The sequence below is a fragment of the Homo sapiens genome, chromosome 20 (assembly GCF_000001405.40).
Source record: "Homo sapiens chromosome 20, GRCh38.p14 Primary Assembly".
Classification (NCBI taxonomy): domain Eukaryota; kingdom Metazoa; phylum Chordata; class Mammalia; order Primates; family Hominidae; genus Homo; species Homo sapiens.
This window is the reverse complement of record NC_000020.11, coordinates 30468894-30491393: the sequence shown is the minus strand read 5'-3', so window position 1 is coordinate 30491393 and position 22500 is coordinate 30468894. Positions and strand designations below refer to the sequence as shown.

The window sequence follows — 22500 nt, the reverse complement described above, 5'->3', positions numbered from 1 at the left end:
GGTTCCATCGGCCCCACCCTGGGACACGGGCCTTGGCAGATTCTGGCCCTTCCTGGCCCTTAAGTTGCTGTCAGAAACCCCATCTCATGCTCAGATGCCCCGAATGACTGTGGCTCGCGCATCACTGGAAACATTGGAAATCTCTCCTCTATGTGTGGCCACCTAAAACCACAGGAGCTCAAGACACACGGCCGCCATCCACCTCACTGTTTTCGGGAGAGAATGCTGAGAGTCTCTTACCGACTCTTTCTTGACTTGAGTTCTTCATGGGTGTGTGGTTAAGACGTAGTGAGACCAGATGTATTAATTCAAGTCGGGTGCCGGTGCCTCACGCCTGTAACACCAACACTTTGGGAGGTTGAGGCCGTAGGATCCCTTGAGGAATCGCCTAACCCAGGGGAGGTTGAGGCTGCAGTGAGTGAGCCATAATGGTGTCACTGCACTCCAGTCTGGGTGAAAGACAGAGTGAGGCCCTGTCACCGGCAGGCAGGCAGGCAGGCAGGCAGACAGACAACAGTTATATTATATTCTTCTCAGGGTAGGAAGTAAAAATAACAGAATACAGTGCGTAATTTTTTTTTTTTTTTTGATACGGAGTTTCACTGTTGTTGCCCACACTGGAGTGCAATGGCACCATCTTGGCTCACCGCAACCTCCACCTCCTGTGTTCAAGCGATTCTCCTGCCTCAGCCTCCTGAGTAGCTGGGATTACAGGCATGTGTCACCACAACCAGCTGATTTTGTATTCTTAGTAGAGACGGCATTTCTCCATGTGGATCAGGCGGGTCTCGAACTGGCCCCCTCAGGTGATCTCCCACCTCAGCCTCCCAAAGTGCTGGGATGACAGGCGTGAGCATTTGAGACCCGCCAGCTACGTTTTTTTTAAATTTTCAATTTTAATCTATTTATTATTATTTTTTTTTTAGACGGAGTCTCACTCTGTTGCCCAGACTGGAGTGCAGTGGCATGATATCAGCTCACTGCAAGGTCTGCCTCCCAGGTTCACGCCATTCTCCTGTCTCAGCCTCCCAAGTAGCTGGGACTACTGGCACCCGCCATGGCGCCTGGCTAATTTTTGGTATTTTGAGTAGAGACGGGGTTTCACTGTGGTAGCCAGGATGGTCTCGATCTCCTGACCATCGTGATCCATCCGCCTCGGCCTTCCAAAGTGCTGGGATTACAGGCGTGAGCCACCGCGCCCGGCCTACTTATCTATTTATTAATGTTGAGTCCAGTTTATGAAACCAGTTAGTTTTCGTATTTTTTTAGAGACGAGGTTTCACCATGTTGCCAAGGCTTGGATCGAGGGATCCACCTTCCCTCGCCTCCCAAAGTGCGGGGATGACAGGCGTGAGCCTACCACGCCCGGCTCCTCCCCTTCACCCCCCAGCTTATCCCTCAGGTGCCCGAGGTCCAGTGGTGGTGTGTTGTTCCCACCCCCAGCGCCCCCTCCTCCGGTCACCGCCGTGATGTCCACGAGTGGGTCCTGAGGGAGCTCGTTGGTGTGGGGGTCGAAGCGGTTGAGTGAGATGGGCCCCTCCCACGCGGGGAAGGGTGCCGCCTGATCTGACAAGCGCAGTTCCCGTGCTCCCCTCTGGCGGGTGCACTCGGGCCGTGTGAGCTATTGCGGTGGGCTGGGGCAGATGACGCGTGCGCCGGCCGGCCGCCCGCCGAGGGGCTACCGTTCTGCCTCCGACAGGTTGTGTGTGGGTTTACTTGGAGGTGCTTTGCCTAGGAGAAAGGAGGCTGGTGGATGGGGGGGCCCTTGGGGGATTGCGTGCACGCGCAGCGGCCAGGCCCCCCACCCAGACCGGGAAGGCTCAAGGTTGCCGCACGCAGATTTTTCCTGGTACCGCAGGCCCTCTCCCTTCCCTAGGCGTCCCTGAGCACCTCTGCGGGCCCGACGAGGGGCGACTGGCGGGTGGGGAGTGTGACCCACCCTCGGTGAGAAAGCCTTCTCTAGCGATCCGAGAGGTGTGCCTTTGGGGTACCGGATCCCCCTGCCTGCCGCCTCTCCCTGCGTTATGGTAGCGCTGCGTAGCGACTGGCTTGCAGAGGACCCTCCTCCGCTTCCCCTTGATGGGGTGATGGGGGGAGAGCAAGGGTTCCGCCAGTCTCCGCGGTGGGGACCCAGGGCAGCTCGTCGCCTACTGTGTGGCCCACGCCTCCCCCTTCCGAGTCGGGGGAGGATCCCGCCGGGCCGGGCCGGCGTCCTAGCGGTTGGGAGGCTGCGCGAGCGGTGGCTGTGCCTGGCTTTCATTCCGGCTTGTGACATGTTCCGCTGTGAGCCGGCTCTCTGCCCGCTCCCCTGCAGAGCAGCGACCGGTGCAGACGACCGCGTTTGTGTGGCACGGGGTTTGGGCCGCCTGGCCCTGGGAAGCGTCCCAAGTGGGGGGCATGCCGGTCTCCCAGAGCTTGACCGGGTTGGAGGATGGGTGAGAAACGAGCAACGTGGCCCTGGCGTTGGGTTTGTGGCTGAGGTCGCCTCGGGGTCCTGATGGCGGGACCCGGGGCTCATGAGGCGGGTCTCGGTGGGTGCCGAGGGCCGTCCGGCATCCTAGGCGGGTCGCTGCGGGACCTCCCTCGTGTCTGTGGCGGTGGGATCCCGTGGCCGTGTTTTCCTGGTGGCCCGGCCGTGCCTGAGGTTTCTCCCCGAGCCGCCCCTCTGCGGGCTCCCGGGTGCACTTGCCGTCGCGGTCCCTGGCCTTGCCCGTCTGTGCCCCCCACCCTGCCCGCGGATCCTCTCTCCCCGAGCGACTCACCGCCTTAGGCTGTGGTGGCCCCGTCTGGGACCAAACCCGGCTCTGCCTTGTGGGGCGCCGCCGCCGGCCACTGGTTGGCCCGTTGTCTGTGTCCCCGGGCGTGCGCCTTTGGGACCAGGTCGGCGGCACCCCGAGTGGGCGTGGTGGGCACCCGGAGGGTTTGGGGTCTGCCTGCAGTGCGTGCAGGGAAGAGGGTTCCGGGGGCTGGCCGCGACAGTGGCGGTGGTGGGGGAGCCGCAGGCCCTCCGAAGGCCAGTCAGCCGCTCCAGGTGCCGCGCGGGGCCGCCTTCATGCTCGGAGGCCGCTGGCGGTGAGAACCCAGGCACAGCGGTCCGCCTCTCGTTCGCTGCCCAAACGTCGGGGCCGCCCCGTGCCCTCCGTGCATGAGTGGCCGCCGGTCCCTCGCGGCTGCCGCACACGGGTCGGGCGGTCTGCCTTCTCGCACATGGGCGCGAAGGGTCGGGAGTGGTGAGCCCGTCGGGGGGTGTTGTGTCGTGTGAATGGATGGGATGTCCGGTTCGCCGCCCCACCACCCCCCTCCCACCACCCCGAGCTGCTCCCTCCCTCCCCCACGCCCCATCGCCTGCCCTGCCGCGCCCAATCTCACAACTGGGACGCGGGGCTCATCCTCGCAAGTCCCGGAGGCTGCTTTCTACCTACCTGGTTGATCCTATCAGAACCATATGCTTGTCTCAAAGATTAAGCCATACATGTCTAAGTACGCAGGGCCAGTACAGTGAAACTGTGAATGGCTCATTAAATCAGTTATGGTTCTTTTGGTTGCTGGCTCCTCTCCTACTTGGAAAACTGTGGTAATTCTAGAGCTATTACATGCCGAAGGGCACTGACCCCCTTCACGGGGAAGATGCGTGCATTTATCAGATTAAAACCAACCCAGTCAGCCCCTCTCCGGCCCCGGCCGGGGGGTCGGGTACCACCAGCTTTGGTGCCTCTGGATAACCTCGGGCCAATCGCACGCCCCCCGTGGCAGCGATGACCCATTCGAACGTCTGCCCTATCAACTTTCTATGGTAGTCACTGTGCCTACCATGGTGACCACGGGTGACAGGGAATCAGGGTTCGATTCTGGAGAGGGAGCCTGAGAAACGGCTACCACATTCAAGGAAGGCAGCAGACATGCAAATTACCCACTCCTGACACGGGGAGGTAGTGACGAAAAATAACAATACAGGACTCTTTCGAGGCCCTGTAATTGGAATGAGTCCACTTTAAATCTTTTAATGAGGATCCATTGGAGGGCAAGTCTGGTGCCAGCAGCCATGGTAATTCCAGCTCCAATAGCGTATATTAAAGTTGTTGCAATTAAAAAGCTTGTAGTTGAATCTTGGGAGCAGGTGGGCTGGTGAGCCACGGCCCATCCCTGCTTCTTGCCTCTCGGTGCCCCCTGGATGCTCTTAGCTGAGTGTCCTCTGGCCCAAAGCGTTTACTTTGAAAAAATTAGAGTGTTCAAAGCAGGCCCAAGCCACCTGGATACTGCAGCTTGGAATAATGGAATGGGACTGCGGTTCTATTTTGTTGGTTTCCGGAACTGAGGCCATGATTAAGAGGGATGGCCGGGGGCATTCATATTGCACCGCTAGAGGTGAAATGCCTGGACTGGCACAGTTTGAACTGGAGCAAAAGCATTTGCCAAGAATGTTTTCATTAATCAAGAATGAAAGTCGGAGGTTCGAAGACAATCAGATACCGTGGTAGTTCCGACCATAAACGATGCCGACTGGCGATGTGGCGGCGTTATTCCCATGACCCGCTGGGCAGCTTCCAAGAAACCAGCCTTTGGGTTTTTCAGTTCCGAGGGGAGTATGGTTGCAAAGCTGAAACTTAAAGGAATTGACAGAAGGGCACCACCAGGAGTGGAGCCTGTGGCTTAATTTGACTCAACATGGGAAAACTCACCCGGCCTGGACAGGGACAGGATTGATAGATTGATAGCTCTTTCTCGATTCCATGAGTTGTGGTGCACGGCCTTAATTGGTGGAGTGATTTGTCTGGTTAATTCCGATAACGAACGAGATTCTGGCATGCCAAATAGTTATGCGACCCCCAAGTGGTCGGCATCCCCCAACTTCTTAGAGGGACAAGTGGCGTTCAGCCACCTGAGATTGAGCAATAACAGGTCTGTGATGCCCTTAAATGTCCAGGGCTGCACGTGCGCTACACTGACTGGCTCAGCGTGTGCCTACCCTATGTGGCAGATGTGGGTAACCTGTTGAACCTCATTGGCGATGGTGATCGGGGATTGCAATTTTTCCCCATGAACGAGGAATTCCCAGTAAATGCGGGTCATAAGCTTGCGTGAAGTCCCTGCCCTTTGTACACACTGCAGGTCACTACTCCTGATTGGATAGTTTAGTGAGGCCCTCGGATCAGCCCCGCTGGGTCAGCCTACTGCCCTGGCGGAACACTGAGAAGACAGTCGAACTTGACTATCTAGAGGAAGTAAAAGTCGTAACAAAGTTTTGGTAGGTGAACCTGTGGAGGGATCATTAACAGAGAAGAGCGAAGCCACAGAGACGCCGCCATGTCCTTCCTCCTTGGCCGACCGTGTTCCCCCTGTGGCGCATGCATGGGCGGGGTCTTGCCCTTTGTTTGTTGCATGGCCCCGCCTGCCCCCAGAGCCGGAGAACTCCGGAGGGAGAGAGGTGGTAGAGAGACAGGCATGTGGGGATGAAACCATGTGTGCGTGTCATGGGGCTGGCTGGATGGCTCGCCGGCCTGGTGAGCAGCGGGGAGTGGTCACCTGACGTGGCCCCCATGTGTGCATCGGTGGGCACGGAGGTATTTCTCGGCATCATGGTGGGGTGGGGGTCTCGGTGCCCTCCCCACTGGGGCCGTCGTCCTGCCGTGTCCCACTGTCTCGGCCCCATCCTGCCCGCTCCCGTCAGGGCTGGCCAGGTTCCCATCACTGCCGCTGCCACCATCATCGCCTCTGCCAAACCACACCACTGGCCCGTCCCGGCCCACTTTCTCTTCCCAGCCTTCCCGCTAGGGGGTCTCGAGGGTAGGGAGCTGGACGCCGGTCCCACCCCCCTCATCCGCCCCTGCCATCCAGGTACCTAGCGCATTCTGGCGTGGAGGTTTAAGGACCCCTTGGGGGGTCGCCGGTCCGCCTGTGGGTCAGGTGCAGTGGGCCCACGGTGGAGTCCGTTCAGGAGGGGCCCACCCCTCCCTCGCCTCCCCTGCTGACTCCGTCTCCCCGGCCAGCCGGGGCCGCGCCACACTTTGGTGTCACCGCTGATGCCGGTGGGGGCTTTATCCAGCGGCCATCGTGATGTTGCACACATGCCACGGGTGTGGCCTGTGCCCCGCGCTGTGGGGGCGGGAACCCCTGGGCTCCCATGGGGTGGTGTCAGCGTTTGCCCCCCCCTCCATGGTTGGCACTGCCTCCCTGTATTGTGAAACCTTCCAACCCCTCTCTGGAGTCTGGTCCCATTGCTGTCTGACTGGCCGGCCTGAGGTAATCCCTCTGGGGGACGTGCTGTGCCAGGAGGGCCTCCCGTTCTTGGGAGTGCCCTCGCCAAATCAACCTTTTATGACTTTTAGTGGTGGATCACTCGGCTGCTGCGTCAATGAAGAATGCAGCTAGCTGGGAGAATTAATGTGAACCGCAGGACACATTGATCATTGACACTTCGAATGCACTTGCGGCCCGGGTTCCTCCTAGGGCTATGCCTGTCTGAGCGTCGCTTGCCGATCAAAATCCCCCGGGGTTGCCTCCAGGCTCCTCGGGGTGCACGGCTGTTCCATGGCATGGCCCACGGGGCCCTCTGTTCCCCCAAGTGCAGACCAGCGACATCCGCCCTCCTCTCCTGCTGTACCCGCCCCTTCCCCCTCCCCCAACAGGCCCTGTGTGGTCACGCATTGGGTGGCGTGGGGAAGGGGGGCTCCCGGCTGTGAGGAAGAGAGAGAGGGCAGCACCGCCACCAGTGAAAAAAGAGAGGGAAGATAGCCGGCTGCGGCCGAGTTCCCGTGGCCACCATCACGGTCTGGGTTCCTCCCTTGGGGGCTCCCTCTTGCCTCATGCAGCTCATGGTGTGGGGTTCATTGGCCCTGGCAGGGTGGAAGGTCCCATGCCATCATCGTCGCACGTCGTCGGTGGTGGGGGCTTGTTGGGGGCGGGGAGGAACGCAAATAGGAAGGGTCCACCGGGGAGAGGGTGGCGGAGCACGTCCCGGTCGCCGCGGTTCACCGTCCACCCCTGGAGGCGGCCCAGCAACTGGCCGACCACAGCTCCAGTGCCCCTCCTCCCCAACACTCCTCCGAGGCACCGTCCTCCTCGCCCACCCACACCCTGCCCACCCCCCACCCGCCCGGCACGTCACGGTGTGTCCGGGGCCGGAAGCCTGCCACACGGCCCGTCTGGTCCCATGGTTCGCTTGCCCCTGGTGGTGATCCGCTGGACGCTGTGGTGTCATCCACCATCGCGCGCCCGCCTCCAGCTCTGGGCCTTTCGGGGCAGGGCAGCGCCACCGTGTCCTCGGACCCGTCCCCCACCTCCATTTAGTACGTAGGCAATCTCATGTAACTTAGCAAAGCTAGCATGTCCCTAGACTTGGCACAGCCACTGTAAGGGTGTCCTCCCAGTAGCATCGTTAACATTAATTGTAATTGGTAGGCAATCACTTAGTTTCACATTTCATTACCCGAGTTACACAAATGTGTAAAAAAATACAGTTTTAATAAAAGGGAGCAAAGGATAATATGAGTAATATTCACAATATCTAGTTGGAAGAGGTAGTGTTTTCTCAGAAATGATGCATTCCTGGAACAAGGTCATTTTGTGTTTGGTTTGTTAAATATCTATTTCCATTTTGACAAACCACTGGAAAAGCCCAGCTTCACAAGGACTCTCCATGAGAATGATCACACAAAAGAACACCCATAACACAAAATCAAAACAAGGGTTGTCCAGGCGTCACATTAAAGGCTCATTACCAAGTTTTCTTAGAAGAGATAAAGAACACAAAGTTACTTTTATGTGATGGAAAACAGAGAGAAAGAGTAAATGCAACAATAAATTTTAGGTAACAACAGTGAAAAACAAGCTGTGGGAAAAAATGAATGGAAATGTTTTGTTTGGTATTGATTTCCTATCCTGATATCAGAAAGTATGGGAAAGAACAAAGCACATTTTTTTGAGACAGAACATAAAACAGATGAATGTTAAAGACTGTTTTACAGTGCTAACAAAACTATCTGTGACTTGTTTTTTCCCTTTAAAAATACGATTTTGTACAATTACATTTATATAAATTATTGAAATAAAATTGTAAAGATGGAGAACAGACTATGGGGTTGCCAAGGGGAAGGGGTGGAGAAAACGTGTCAGAGTGTCAGCAAAGATCCCAAGTTGGAGCCTGGTGGTGAGGCTACAGTTCTGCATCTTGACTTTGGAAGTGGTAGTTACAGAGATCTACACCACATAAAAATGAACAGAACACACGCACACACATACACACGTACAAAAATGAATGCATGCAAAACGGTTGCGATCTGAGTAAGCTTTCTGAATTGTACCTATGTCAGTTTCCAGGTTTTGATAATGCTCTATGGCTATGTGAGATGTCACCACTGGAATTAGTGAAGAGTACCTAAGACATCCCTGTACCTTTTGCAACTTCCTGTGAATCTATAATTATTTCAAAAGAAAGTTGAAAGTCATAGCAGACTTTCACTTCAAAGAGGAAAAAAACTGAAGATTAATGAAATTGTTGAAAAACATCAAATACTCAATAGTCTGTATGAGAGCTGTATTCTGTCCACTCCCAGCACAGCTGTCATTTAGCCTTTTCCTGATGTGCCCTGGAGGACTTGAGCTCCTCTTGGGTTGCCAAGGCCAATAGTGTTTATTTGTTACTAACTTTGTACTGGACCCCCAAAAATGAAAAGTGATTGAATAATCATTTATAATAACAACTAGTAATTTTACTTATAAAGAGACAATAGTGGTAACCAATTTAAATATTTAGGGTAAAGAATAGGATCTTTGTAAGACAATACTGGCAAAATTTAAAAAGAAAAAATAAGGAATCAGAAACATAAGCAGTTCAGTATTGTGAAAAAATTCTGGATCTGAGAAGCAAAAGAACAGAGATTGTATTGCGTTTCTGCTCCAAACCTGATGAATCACCTTAGCTGTGTTTTGTTTCTGCACCAAAGCTGTGGAATCACCTTAGGCAATGCATGTCCTTTCCCTGAATCTGTTTTCTTTTCTACAAAATAAAGTGAGCTAGATCATCTCCAAGGTCCCCCAAATATTCACATTTTCGGCTCTACATGAACTTCTGTTGAATTCCTAATTTCAGTGTGGATAACACATGTGTGCTGCACCACAAGCAGTGTTTCTAAATGCTCATGTTGGTCCTAAAAACTAATTATGAGCAGTTTGGAAATTTTGTTGTTATAGAATCTGCAAAGGGATATCTGTGAGTGCTTTGAGACCATGGTGAAAAAGGAAATACTTTTACATAAAAACTATAAAGAATGTTTCTGAGAAACTGCTTTGTGATGTCTGCATTCATCTCACAGAGTTAAACGTTTCATTCCCTTGACCAGTCTGGAAACTCAGTTCTTGTGCAATCTGCAAAGTGATATTTGTGAGCACTTTGATGTCTATGGTGAAAAAGGAAATATCTTCACATAAAAACTAGACAGACGCTTTCTGAGAAACTACTTTTTGACGTGTGGATTCATCTCACAAAGTTAAACCATTCTTTTGATTGAAAAGCTTGGAAATGGTGTTTTGTAGAATCTGCAGAGGGATATTTGTGAGCACTTTGAGGCCTATGGTGAAAAAGGAAATATCTTTACATAAAAACTAGAAAGAAGATTTATGAGAAACTGCTTTGTGATGTGTGTGTTCATCTCACAGAGGTAAATCATTCTTTTCATTGAGCAGATTGGAAACTCTGTTCTTGTAGGATCTGCAAAGGGATATTTGTGAGCAGTTTGAGGCCTATGGCGAAAAAGGAAATATCATTGCATAAAAACTTGACAGAAGTTTCTGAGAAACTTCCTGGTTATGTGTGCATTCATATCACAGGGTTGAACCATTCTTTTGATTGAGCAGTTTGGAAACAGTATTTTTGTAGAATTGGCAAAGGGATATTTGTGATCACTTGGAGGCCAATGGTGAAAAAGGAAATCTCTTCACATAAAAACTAGACAGAAGCTTTCTGAGAAACTTTTTTTGTGATTTGTACATTCATCCCAGAGTTGAACCATTCTTTTGATTGAGCAGTTTGGTAACAGTCTTTTTGTAGAATCTGCAAAGGGATATTTGTGAGCGCTTTGAAGCTTATGTTGAAAAAGGAAATGTCTTCACATAAAAACTAGAAAGAAGGTTTCTGAGAAACTGATTTGTGATGTGTGAATTCATCTCACAGAGTTGAACCTTTCTATTGATTGAGCATTTTGGAACCAGTATTTTGTAGAATCTGCAAATGGATATTTGTGAACACTTTCAGGCTTATGGTGAAAAAGGAAATATCTTCACATGAAAACTAGACAGAAGCTTTCTGAGAGACATCTGTGTAATGTGTGCACTCATCTCACAGAATTGAACCATTCCTTTGATTGAGCAATTTGGAAACAGTCTTTTTGTAGAATATGCAAAGGGATATTTGTGAACGCTTTGAGGCCTATGGTGAAAAACGAAATAAATTCACATAAAAACTAGACAGAAGGTTTCTGAGAAACTGCTTTTTAATGTGTGCATTCATCTCACAGAGGTAAACGTTTCTTTTCATTGAGCAGATGGGAAACTCTTTTCTTGTGCAATCTGCAAAGGGATATTTGTGAGCAGTTCGAGGCCTATGGTGAAAAAGGAAATATCATCGCATAAAAACTTGACCGAAGTTTCTGAGAAAGTTCATGGCTATGTGTGCATTCATCTCACAGAGTTGAACCATTCTTTTGATTGAGCAGTTTGGAGACAGTATTTTTGTAGAATTGGCAAAGGTATATTTGTCAGCTCTCTGAGGCCTATGGTGAAAAAGGAAATATCTTCAATAAAAACTATAAAGAATGTTTCTGAGAAGCTGTTTTGCAAGGTGTGCATTCATCTCACAGAGATAAAAGTTTCTATTCCTTAATGAGTCTGGAAACTCTGTTCTTGTAAATTCTGCAAAGGGATATTTGTGAGCGGCTTGAGGCCTATGGTGAAAAAGGAAATATCTTCACATAAAAACTAGACAGAAGATTTCAGAAAAACTGCTTTGTGATATGTGCATTTATCTCACAGAGTTGAACCATTCTTTTGATTGAGAAGTTTGGAAAGAGTCTTTTCAGAGAATCTGCAAAGGGATATTTTGAGCGCTTTGATAGGTATGGTGAAAAGGGAAATATCTTCATATAAAATACTGGACAGAAGCTTTCTGAGAAACTTCTTTGTGATGTGCACATTCATCTCACAGAGTTGAACCTTTCTTTTGATTGAGCACTTTGGAAAGAGTCCTTTTCTAGAATATGCAGAGGGATATTTATGAGTCCTTTATGGCCTAAGGTGAAATAGGAAATATCTTCACATAAAAACTAGACAGAAGCATTCTGAGAAACTTTTTTGTGAAGTGTGCTTTCATCTCACAGAGTTGAAGCTCTCTTTTCGTTGAGGAGTTTGGAAACAGTCTTTTTGTAGAATATGCAAATGGATATTTGGAGCGCTTTGAGGCCTATGGTGAAAAAGGAAATATCTTCACATAAAAACTAGCCAGAAGCATTCTTAGAAACTTCTTTGTGATGTATGCATTCATCTCACAGAGTTGAACCTTTCTTCTGATTGAGCAGTTTCAAAACAGTCCTTTTGTAGAATCTGCAAAGGGATATTTGTGAGCCCTTTGAGGCCTATGGTAAAATAGGAAATATCTTCACATAAAAACTAGTCAGAGGATTTCTGAGAAACTTCTTTGTGATGTATGCTTTCATCTCACAGAGTTGAACCTTTCTTTTTATTGAGCAGTTTTGAAACACATTTTTTGTAGAATCTGCTATTTGGAGCACTTTGAGGACTGTGGTGAAAAAGGAAATATCTTCACAAAAACCTAGAAAGCAACATTCTATGAAACTTCTTTGTGATGTGTGTTTTCATTTCACAGAGTTGAACCTTTCTATACATTGAGCAGTTTGGAAACCATCTTTTTGTAGAATCTGCAAATGGACATTTGGAGACGTTTGAGGCCTTGTTGAGAAAGGAAATATACTCACATAAAAACTAGACAGAAGCATTCTGAGAAACTTCTTTGTGACGTGTGCATTTATCATACAGAGTTGAAGCTTTCTTTTGGTTGAACAGTTTGGAAATAGTCTTTTTGTAGTATCTCCCGAGGGATGTTTGCAAGTGGTTTGAGGCCTATGGTGAAAAAGGAAATATCTTCACATAAAAACTAGACAGAAGCTTTCTGAGAAACTTCTTTGTGATGTGTGAATTCATCTCACAGTGTTGAACCTTTTGTTGGATTGAGCAGGTTGGAAACAATCCTTTTGTGGAATCTGCAAAGGTATATTTCTGAGCCCATTGAGGCCTATGGTGAAATATGAAATATCTTCCCGTAAAAACTAGACAGAATGTTTCTAAGAAACTTCTTTGTGATGTGTGCTTCCATCTCACAGAGTTGAACCTTTCTTTTGATTGAGCAGTTTGGAAACACTCTTTTTGTAGAATCTGCAAATGGATATTTGGAGCACTTTGAGGCCCATGGTAAAAAAGGAAATATCTTCACATAAAAACTAAATGGAAGCTTTCTGAGAAACTTTTTTATGATGTGTGCATTCATCTCCCAGAGTTGAACCGTTCTTTTGTTTGAGCAGTCGGAAACAGTCTTTTTGTAGAATCCGCAAATGGGTATTTGGAGCGGTTTGAGGCCTATGGTGAAAAAGGAAACTTCTCCACATAAAAACGAGACAGAAGCATTCTGAGAAACTTCTTTGTGATGAGAGATTTCATTTCACAGAGTTTAACCTTTCTTTTCATTGAGCAGTTTGGAAACAGTCTTTTTGTAGAATCTGCTAAGGGATATTTGTGAGCCGTTTGAGGCATGTGGTGAAAAAGGAAATACCTTCACATAAAAACTAGACAGAAGTATTTTGAGAAACCTCTTTGTGATGTTTGAATTCATCTCACAGAGTTGAACCTTTCTTTTGATTGAACAGTTTGGAGACAGTCTTTTTGTACAATCTGCAAAGGGATATTTCTGAGCCGTTTGAGGCCTATGATGAAAAAGAAATATCTTCCAAAAAAACTAGACAGAAGCATTCTTAGAAACTACTTTGTGATGTGTCCATTCATCTCACAGAGTTGAAACTTTCTTTTGACTGAGCAATTTGGTAACAGTATTTTTGTAGCATATGCAAACGTATATTTGTGAGCCCTTTATGGCCTATGGTGAAATAGGAAATATCTTCACATAAAAACTAGACAGTAGCTTTTTGAGAAACTTCTCTGTGATGTGTACTTTCATCTCACAGATTTGAAAATGTCTTTCAATTGTGCAGATTGGAAACAGTCTTTTTGTACAACCTGCAAATGGATATTGGGATCGCTTTGAAGCCTATGGTGAAAAAGGAAATATCTTCACATAAAAATTAGATGAAAGCATTCTGAAAAACTTCTTTCTGTCATTTGCATTCATCTCACACTGTTGAACATTTCTTTGATTGAAGATTTGGAAACAGTTTTTTTTGTAAAATCTACAAAGGGATAATTGTGAACCCTTTGAGGCCTATTGTGAAGTAGGAAATATCTTCATATAAAAATTACACAGAAACATTCTGAAAAACTTTTTTGTGATGGGTGCATTCGTCTCACACAGTTGAAGCTTTCTTTTCCTAGAGCAGTTTGGAAGCAGTCCTTTGTAGAATCCCCAAAGGGATATTTCTGAGCTCATTGAGGCCTTTGGTGATATAGAAAATATCTTCACATAAAAGCTAGACAGAAGCTTTCTGAGAAACTTCTTTTAATGAGTGCTTTCATCTCAAAGAATTGAGGGTTTCTTTTGACTGAGCAGTTTGGAAACACCCTTTTTGCAGAATCTGCAAATGGATAATTGGAGTTCTTTGAGGCCTATGGTGAAAAAGGAAATATCTTCACATAAAAACTAAACAAAAGATTTCTGAGAAACTGCTTTGTAATGCGTGCATTAATCTCACAGCTTTGAAACTTTCTTTTGATTGAGCAGTTTGTAAACAGTCTTTTTGTAGAATCTGCAAATGGATATTAGGAGTGCTTTGAGGCCTATGGTGAAAAAGGAAATATCTTCACAAAAAAAACTAGAAAGAAACATTCTGAGAAACTTCTTTGTGATGTGTGCTTTCATCTCCCAAAGTTGAACCTTTCTTTTCACTGAGCAGTTTGGAAACAGACTTTTTGTAGAATCTGGAAATGCACATTGAGAGTACTTTGAGGCCTATGGTGAAAAAGGAAATATCTTCAGATAAACACTAAACAGAAACTTTCTGAGAAACTTCCTTGTGATATGTGCATTCATATCACAGAGCTGAACCTTTCTTTTGATTTAGCAGTTTGTAAACAGTCTTTTGGTAGAATCTCCAAATGGATACTTGGAGTGGTTTGAGGCCTATGGTGAAAGGGAAAAGATCCTCACAAAAAAAACTAGGAAGATACATTCTGAGAAACTTCTTTGTGATGTGTGCTTTCACCTCACAGAGTTGAAACTTTCTTTTCATTGAGCAATTTGGAAACAGTCTTTTTGTGGAATCTGCAAATGGATATTTGGAGTGCTTTGAGGCCTATGGTGAAAAAGGAAATATCTCACATAAACACTAGACAGAAGCATTCTGAGAAACTTTTTTGTGTTGTGTCCATTCATCTCACAGAGTTGAACCTTTCTTTGTATTGAGCAGTTTGGAAACAATCTTTTTCTAGAATCTGCAAAAAATATTTGTGAGCCCTTTATGGCCCATGGTTTAACAGGAATTATCCTCACAGAAAAACTAGACAGAAGCTTTCTGAGAAACTTCTTTGTGATGTGTGCTTTCAACTCACAGAGTTGTACCTTTCTTTTGATTGAGCAGTTTGGAAACAGTCTTTTTGTGGAATCTGCAAATGGATGTTTGGAGCGCTTTGAGGCCTATGGTGAAAAAGGAAATACCTTCACATAGAAACTAGGCAGAAGCATTCTGAGAAACATCTCTGTGATGTGTGCATTCATCTCATAGAGGTGAATCTTTCTTTGACTGAGCAGTTTGGAAACAGTCCTTTTGTAGAATCTGCAAAGGGATATTTCTGAGCCCATTGAAGCATAGGGTGAAAAAGTAATATCTTCACATAAAAACTAGACAGAAGCATTCTAGTAAACTTTTTTGTGATGTGTCCATTCATCTCACAGAGTTGAAACTTTCTTTGGATTGAGCAGTTTGGAAACAGTCTTTTTGTAGAATCTGCAAAAAATATTTGTGAGCCCTATATGGCCTGTGGTGAAATAGGAAATATCTTCACAAAAAAACTAGACAGAAACTTTCTGAGAAACTTCTTTGTGATGTGTGCTTTCATGTCACAGAGTTGAACCTTTCTTTTGATTGAGCAGTTTGGAAACACTCTTTTTGTAGAATCTGCAAATGGGTATTTGGACTGCTTTGAGGCCTATGGTGAAAAAGGAAACATATTCACATAGAAAATACTGGACAGATGCATTCTGAGAAACTTCTTTGTGACGTGTGCATTCATCTCACAGAGTTGAATCTTTCTTTGGATTCAGCAGTTTTCTAAACAGTCCTTTTGTAGCATCTGCAAAGGGATATTTCTTAGCCCATTGAGGCCTATGGTGAAAAGGAAACATCTTTAAATAAAAACAAAATAGAAGCTCTCTGAGAAACTTCTTTGTGATGTGTGCATTCATCTCAGAGTGTTGGACCTTTCTTTTGATTGAGCAGTTTGGAAACAGTCTTTTTGTAAAATCTGCAAAAGGATATTTCTGAGCTGTTTGAGGCCTATGGTGAAAAACAAATATCTTCACATAAAAACTAGACAGAAGCATTCTGAGAAACTTCTTTCTGATGTGTGCATTCATCTCACAGAGTTGAACCTTTCTTTTGTTTGAGCAGTTTGGAAACAGTCTTTTTTTAGAATGTGCAAACAGATATTGGTGAACCCTTTACAGCCTATGATGAAATAGGAAATATCTTCACATAAAAACTAAAAAGAATCATTCTGAGAAACTTCTGTGTGATGTGTACATTAATCTCACAGAGTTGAGCCATTGTTTTCATGGAGCAGTTTGGAAACAGTCTTCTTGTGGTATCTGCAGAGGGATATTTGTGAGCAGTTTAAAGCCTATGGTGAAAAAGGAAATATCTTAACATAAATACTAGACAGAAGCATTCTGAGAAACTTCTTTTTCATGTGTGCATTCATCTCACAGAGATGAATCTTCCTTTTCATTGAGCAGTTTGGAAACCGTCTTTTTGTACAATCTGCAAAGGGATATTTCTGAGCCGTTTGGGGCCTATGGTGAAAAAGTAATATCTTCACATAAAAACTATACAGAAGGAATCTGAGAAACTTCTGTTTTATGTGTGCTTTCACATCACAGAGTTGAAACTTTCTTTTCATTGAGCAGTTCGGAAACAGTCGTTTTGTAGAATCTGCAAAAGGATATTTGTGGGTTCATTGAGGCCTGTGGGGAAATAGGAAATATCCTCACACAAAACTAGACAGAAGCTTTCTGAGAAACTTCTTTGTGATGTGTGCTTTCATCACACAGAGTTGAACCTTTCTTTTGATTGAGCAGTTTGGAAACAGTCTTTTTGTGGAATCTGCAAATGGATGTTTGGAGTGCTTTGAGGCCTATGGTGAAAAAGTAAATATCTTCACATTAAAACTAGACAGAAACATTCTGAGAAACTTCTTTGTGATGTGTGCATTCATCTCATGTTGTTGAGCCTATCTTTTGTTTTAGCAGATTGGAAACAGTCCTTTGTTGTATCTGCAGAGGGATATTTGTGAGTGGTTTGAGGCCTATGGTGAAAAAGGAAATACCTTCACATAAAAACTAGACAGAAGCATTCTGGGAAACTTCTCTGTGATGTATGCATTCAATTCACACAGGTGAACCTTTCTTTAGATTGAGAAGTTTGGAAACAGTCTTTTTTGAGAATCTGCAAAGGGATATTTCTGAGCCCATTGAGGCCTAGGGTGAAAAACAAATATCTTCACAAAAAAACTGAACAGACGCATTCTGAGAAATTTTTTTGTGATGTGTCCATTCATCTCACAGAGTTGGACCTTTCTTTGGATAGAGCAGTTTGGAAACAGTCTTTTTGAAGAATCTGCAAAAAATATTTGTGAGCCCTTTATGGCCTACGGTGAAATAGGAAATATCTTCACATAAAAACTAGACAGAAACTTTCTGAGAAACCAGTTTGCGATGTGTGCTTTCATCTCACAGATTTGAACATTTCTTTTGAATGAGCAGTTTGGAAACACTCTTTTTGTAGAGTCTGTAAATGGATATTTGGAGCACTTTGAGGCCTATGGTGAAAAAGGAAATATCTTCACATAAAAACCAGACAGAAGCATTCTGAGAAACTTCTTTGTGATGTGTGTATTCATCTCACAGAGTTGAACATTTCTTTGGATGCAGCAGTTTGGAAACAGTCTTTTTGTAGTATCTGCAGAGGGATATTTGTGAGCAGTTTAAGGCCTATGGTTAAAAAGGATATATCTTCACATAAAAGCTCGACAGATCCATTGTGAGGAACTTCTTTGAGATGTGTGCATTCATCTCACAGAGTTGAAACTTTCTTTGGATTGAGCAGTTTTCTAAACAGTCCTTTTGTAGAATCTGCAAAGGGATATTTCTGAGCCCATTGAGGCCTATGGTGAAAACAGAAATATCTTCACATGAAAGCTAAACAGAAGCTTTCTGAGAAACTTCTTTGTGATGTGTGCATTCATCTCACAGTGTTGAAACTTTCTTTTGATTGAGCAGTTTGGAAACAGTCTTTTTGTACAATCTGCAAAGGGATATTTCTGAGCTATTTGAGGCCTACAGTGCAAGAGAAATATCTTCAGATAAAAACAAGACAAAAAAATTCTGAGAAACTTCTTTATGATGTGTGCATTCACCTCACAGAGTTGAAACTTTCTTTTCATTGAGCAGTTTGGAAACAGTCTTTTTGTAGGATCTGGAAAGGGATATTTGTGAGTCCATTGAGGCCTGTGGTGAAATAGGAAATATCTTCACATAAAAACTAGACAGAAGCTTTCTGAGAAACTTCTTTGTGATGTGTGCTTTCACCTCACAGAGTTGAACTTTCCTTTTGATTGAGCAGGTTAGAAGCAGTCTTTTAGTAGAATCTGCAAATGGATATTTGCAGCATTTTAGGCCTATTATGAACAGGAAATATCTTCATATAAAAACTAGACAGAAGCATTCTGAGAAACTTCTTTGTGGTGTGTGCATTCATGTCACAGAGCTGAAACTTTCCTTTGATTGAGCAGTTTGGAAAGAGTCTTTTGTAGAATCTGCAAAGGGATATTTGTGAGCCCATTGAGGCCTATGGTGAAATAAGAAATATCTTCACATAAAAACTTGACAGAAGCTTTCTGAAAAACTTCTTTGTGCTGTATGCTTTCACCTCACAGAGTTCAACCTCTCTTTTGATTGAGCACTTTGGAAACACTCTTTTTGTAGAGCCTGCAAATGGATACTTGGAGTGTTTTGAGGCCTATGGTGAAAAAGGAAATATCTGCAGATAAAAACTAGACAGAAACTTTTTGAGAAACTTCTTTGTGATGTGTGCTTTCATCTCACATATTTGGACCTTCCTTTTCATTGAGCAGTTTGGCAATAAGTCATTTTGTAGAATCTGCAAAGGGATATTTGTGAGCAGCTTGAGGCCTATGGTGAAAAAGTAATATCTTCACATAAAACCTAGACAGAAGCATTTTGAGAAAACTCATTGTGATGTTTGCATTCATCTCACTGAGTTGAACCTTTCTGTTTACTGAGCAGTGTGGAAACATACTTTTTGTGCAATCTGCAAATGAATATTTGTTTGCGGTTTGAGACCTCTGGTGAAAAAGTAATATCTTCACATAAAAACTGGACAGAAGCATTCTGAGAAACTAATTTTTTATGTGTGCATTCATCTCACAGAGTTGTACCTTTCTGTTTATGAAGTAGTTCAGAAACAGTTTTTTGTAGAATCTGAAAAGGGATATTTGTGATCCCTTTGAGGCCAAAGGTGAAATAGGAAATATCTTCACATAAAAACTAGACAGAAACTTTCTGAGAAACTTTTTGTGATGTGGGCTTTCATCTCACAGATTTGAACCTTTATTTTGATTCAGCAGTTGGGAAAGAGACTTTTTGTAGTATCTGCAGAGGGCTATTAGTGAGTGGACCGAGGCCTATAGTGAAAGAGGAAATGGCTTCTCAGAAAAACTAGACAGAAGCATTCTGAGAAAGTTCTTTGTGATGTGTGCATTCATCTCACAGAGTTAAACCTTTCTTTTGATTGAGCTGTTTGGAAACACTTTTTTTGTAGTATCTGCAAGGGTATACTTCTGAGCCCATTGAGGCCTACTTTGAAATATGAAATATCTTCACATAAAAACTAGATAGAAGGTTTCTAAGAAAGTTCTTTGTGATGTGTGCTTTCATCTCACAGAGTGGAACCTTTCTTTTGATTGAGCAGATTGGAAACACTCTTTTTGTAGAATCTGCAAGTGGATATTTGGAGTGCTTTGAGGCCCATGGTGAAAAAGGAAATATCTTCACATAAAAAGTAAACAGAAGTTTTTTGAGAAACTTCTTTGTTATGTGTGCATTCATCTCACAGAGTTGAACAGTTCTTTTGATTGAGCAATTTGGAAACAGTCTTTTCATGGAATCTGCAGGTGGATATTTGGAGCTCTTTGAGGCCTATGGTGAAAAAAGGAAACTTCTTCACATAAAACTAGACAAAAGCATTCTGAGAAACTTCTTTGTGACGTGTGCTTTCATCTCAGAGTTTAACCTTTCTTTCATTGAGCAGTTTGAAAACAGTCTTTTTGTAGAATCTGAATAGGGATATTTATGAGTGGTTTGAGGCCTATGGTGAAAAAGGCAATACCTTCACGTAAAAACCAGACAGAAGATTTTTGAGAAACCTCTTTGTGATATTTGCATTCATCTCCCAGAGTTGAATCTTCCTTTTCATTGAGCTGTTTGAAAACCGTCTTTTTGCACAATCTGTAAAGGGATATTTCTGAGTGATTTGAGGCCTATGGTGAAAAAGAAATATCTTCACATAAAATTAGACAGAAGCATTCTGGGAAACTTCTCTGTGATATGTGCCTTCATCCCACAGAGTTAAACCTTTCATTGCATTCAGTAGTTTGGAAACAGTCTTTTCAAAGAATCTGCAAAGGGACATTTCTGAGCCCTTTGAGGACTATGGTGAAATAGGAAATATCTTCACATAAAAACTAGACAGAAGTTTTTGAGAAACTTCTTTGTGATGTGTGCTTTCATCTCACAGAGTTGAACCTTTTTTTTTGATTGAGCAGTTTGGAGACAGTCCTTTTGTAGAATCTGCAAAGGGATATTTCTGAGCCCTTTGAGTCCTATAGCAAAATAGGAAATATCTTCACATAATAACTGGACAGAAGCATTCTGAGAAACTTCTTTGTGATGCGTGCTTTCATATCACAGATTTGAACCTTTCTTTCCATTGAGCAGTTTGGGAACAAGTCATTGTATAGAATCTGCAAAGGTATATTTTTGAGCAGTTTGAGGCCTATGGTGAAAAACTAAATATCTTCACATAAAAACCAGGCAGAAGTTTTTGAGATAACTCTTTGTGATGTTTGCATTCATCTCAAAGAGTTGAACCTTTCTGTTCATTGAGGAGTTTGGAAACATTCTTTTTGTGCAATCTGCAAAGGAATATTTCTGAGTAGTTTCAGGCCTGTGGTGAAAAAGAAATATCCTCACATAAAAACTAGACAGAAGCATTCTGAGAAACTTCTTTTTTATATGTGCATTCACCTCACAGAGTTGAAATTTTTTGTCATTTAGCAGTTTGGAAACAGTCTTTTTGTAGAATCTGCAAAGGGATATTTGTGATCCCTTTGAGGCCTATGGTGAAATAGGAAATATCTTCATATAAATACTAGACAGCAGCTTTCTGAGAAACTACTTTGTGATGTGTGCTTTCATCCTACAGAGTTGAAACTTTCTTTTGATTGATCACTTTGGAAACAGTCTTTTTGAAGAATCTACAAATGGATATTTGGAGAGCTTTGAGGCCTACAGTCAAAAAGGAAATATACTCACATAAAAACTAGACAAAAACATTTTGTGAAACTTCTTTGTGATGTGGGCTTTCATTTCACAGAGTTGAAACTTTGCCTTGATTGAGCAGTTTAGAAACAGTCTTTTTGTACAATCTGCAAAGGGATATTTCTGAGCCATTTGAGGCCTATGGTGAAAACAAAACATCTGCACATAAAAACTAGACAGAAGCATTCATGAGAAACTTCTTTGTGATGTGTCCATTCATGTCACAGAGTTGAACCTTTCTTTTGATTGAGCAGTTTGGAAACAGTCGTTTTGTAGAATCTGCAAAGGGATATTTGTGAGCCCTTTATGGCCTGTGGTGAAATACGAAATATCTTCACATAAAAACTAGACAGAAGATTTCTGAGAAACTTCTTTGTGATGTGTGCTTTCATCTCACAGTGTTGAACGTTTCTTTTGATTGAGCAGTTTGGAAAGTCTTTTTGTAGAATCTGCAAATGGATATTTGGAGTTATTTGAGGCCCATGGTGAAAAAGGAAGTATCTTCACATAAAAACTAGACAGAAGATTTCTGAGAAACTTCTTTGTGATGTGTGAATTCATGTCACAGAATTCAACCTTTCTTTCGATTGAGCAGTTTGGAAACAGTCTTTTGTAGAAGGTGCAAAGGGAAATTTCTTAGCTGATTCAGGCCTATGGTGAAAAAGAAATAACTTCACATAAAAACCAGACAGAGGCATTCTGAGAAACTTCTTTTTCATGTGTGCATTCATCTCCCAGAGTTGAACCTTTCTTTTCATTGAGAACTTCGGAAACAGTCTTTTTGTAGAATCTGCCAAAGGATCTATGTGAGCCCATTGAGGCCCACGGTGAAATAGGAAATATCTTCACAGAAAAACTAGACAGAAGCATTCTGAGAAACGTCTTTGTGATGTTTGCATTCATCTCAGAGAGTTGAAACTTTATTTTGATTGAGCAGTTTGGAAGCAGTCTTTTTGATATATCTGCAAATGGATATTTGGAGCGCTCTGTGGCTTGTGGTGAAAAACTAAATATCTTCATATAAAATCTAGTGAGAAACTTTCTGAAGAACTTCTTTGTGATGTGTGCTTTTATCTCACAGACTTGAACCTTTCTTTTCATTGAGCAGTTTGGAAGCAGTCTTTTTGAAGTATATGCAGAGGGATATTTGGGAGCGGTTTAAGGCCTATGGTGAAAAAGTAAATATCTTCAGATAAAAACTAGATAGAAGCATTCTGAGAAAGTTCTTTGTGATGTGTACATTCATCACACAAAGTTGAAAATTTCTTTTGATTGAGCAGTTTTGAAACAGTCTTTTTGTCCAATCTGCAAAGGGATACTTCTTAGATGTTTGAGGCCTATGGTGAAAAAGAAATATCTTCACATAAAAACTAGACAGAAGCTTTCTGAGAAACATCTTTGTGATGTGTTCATTCATCTCATACAGTTGAAATTTT

The 22500-nt window shown here is 44.0% G+C and overlaps 3 pseudogenes; 2 read left to right on the top strand and 1 right to left on the bottom strand.

Annotated features, from left to right (window-relative positions):
* Window positions 1–90: 90 nt before the first annotated feature.
* Window positions 91–5306, bottom strand: LOC102723618 (serine/arginine repetitive matrix protein 1-like; annotated as a pseudogene).
* Window positions 3420–5272, top strand: LOC110467535 (RNA, 18S ribosomal pseudogene; annotated as a pseudogene).
* Window positions 6318–6469, top strand: LOC110467523 (RNA, 5.8S ribosomal pseudogene; annotated as a pseudogene).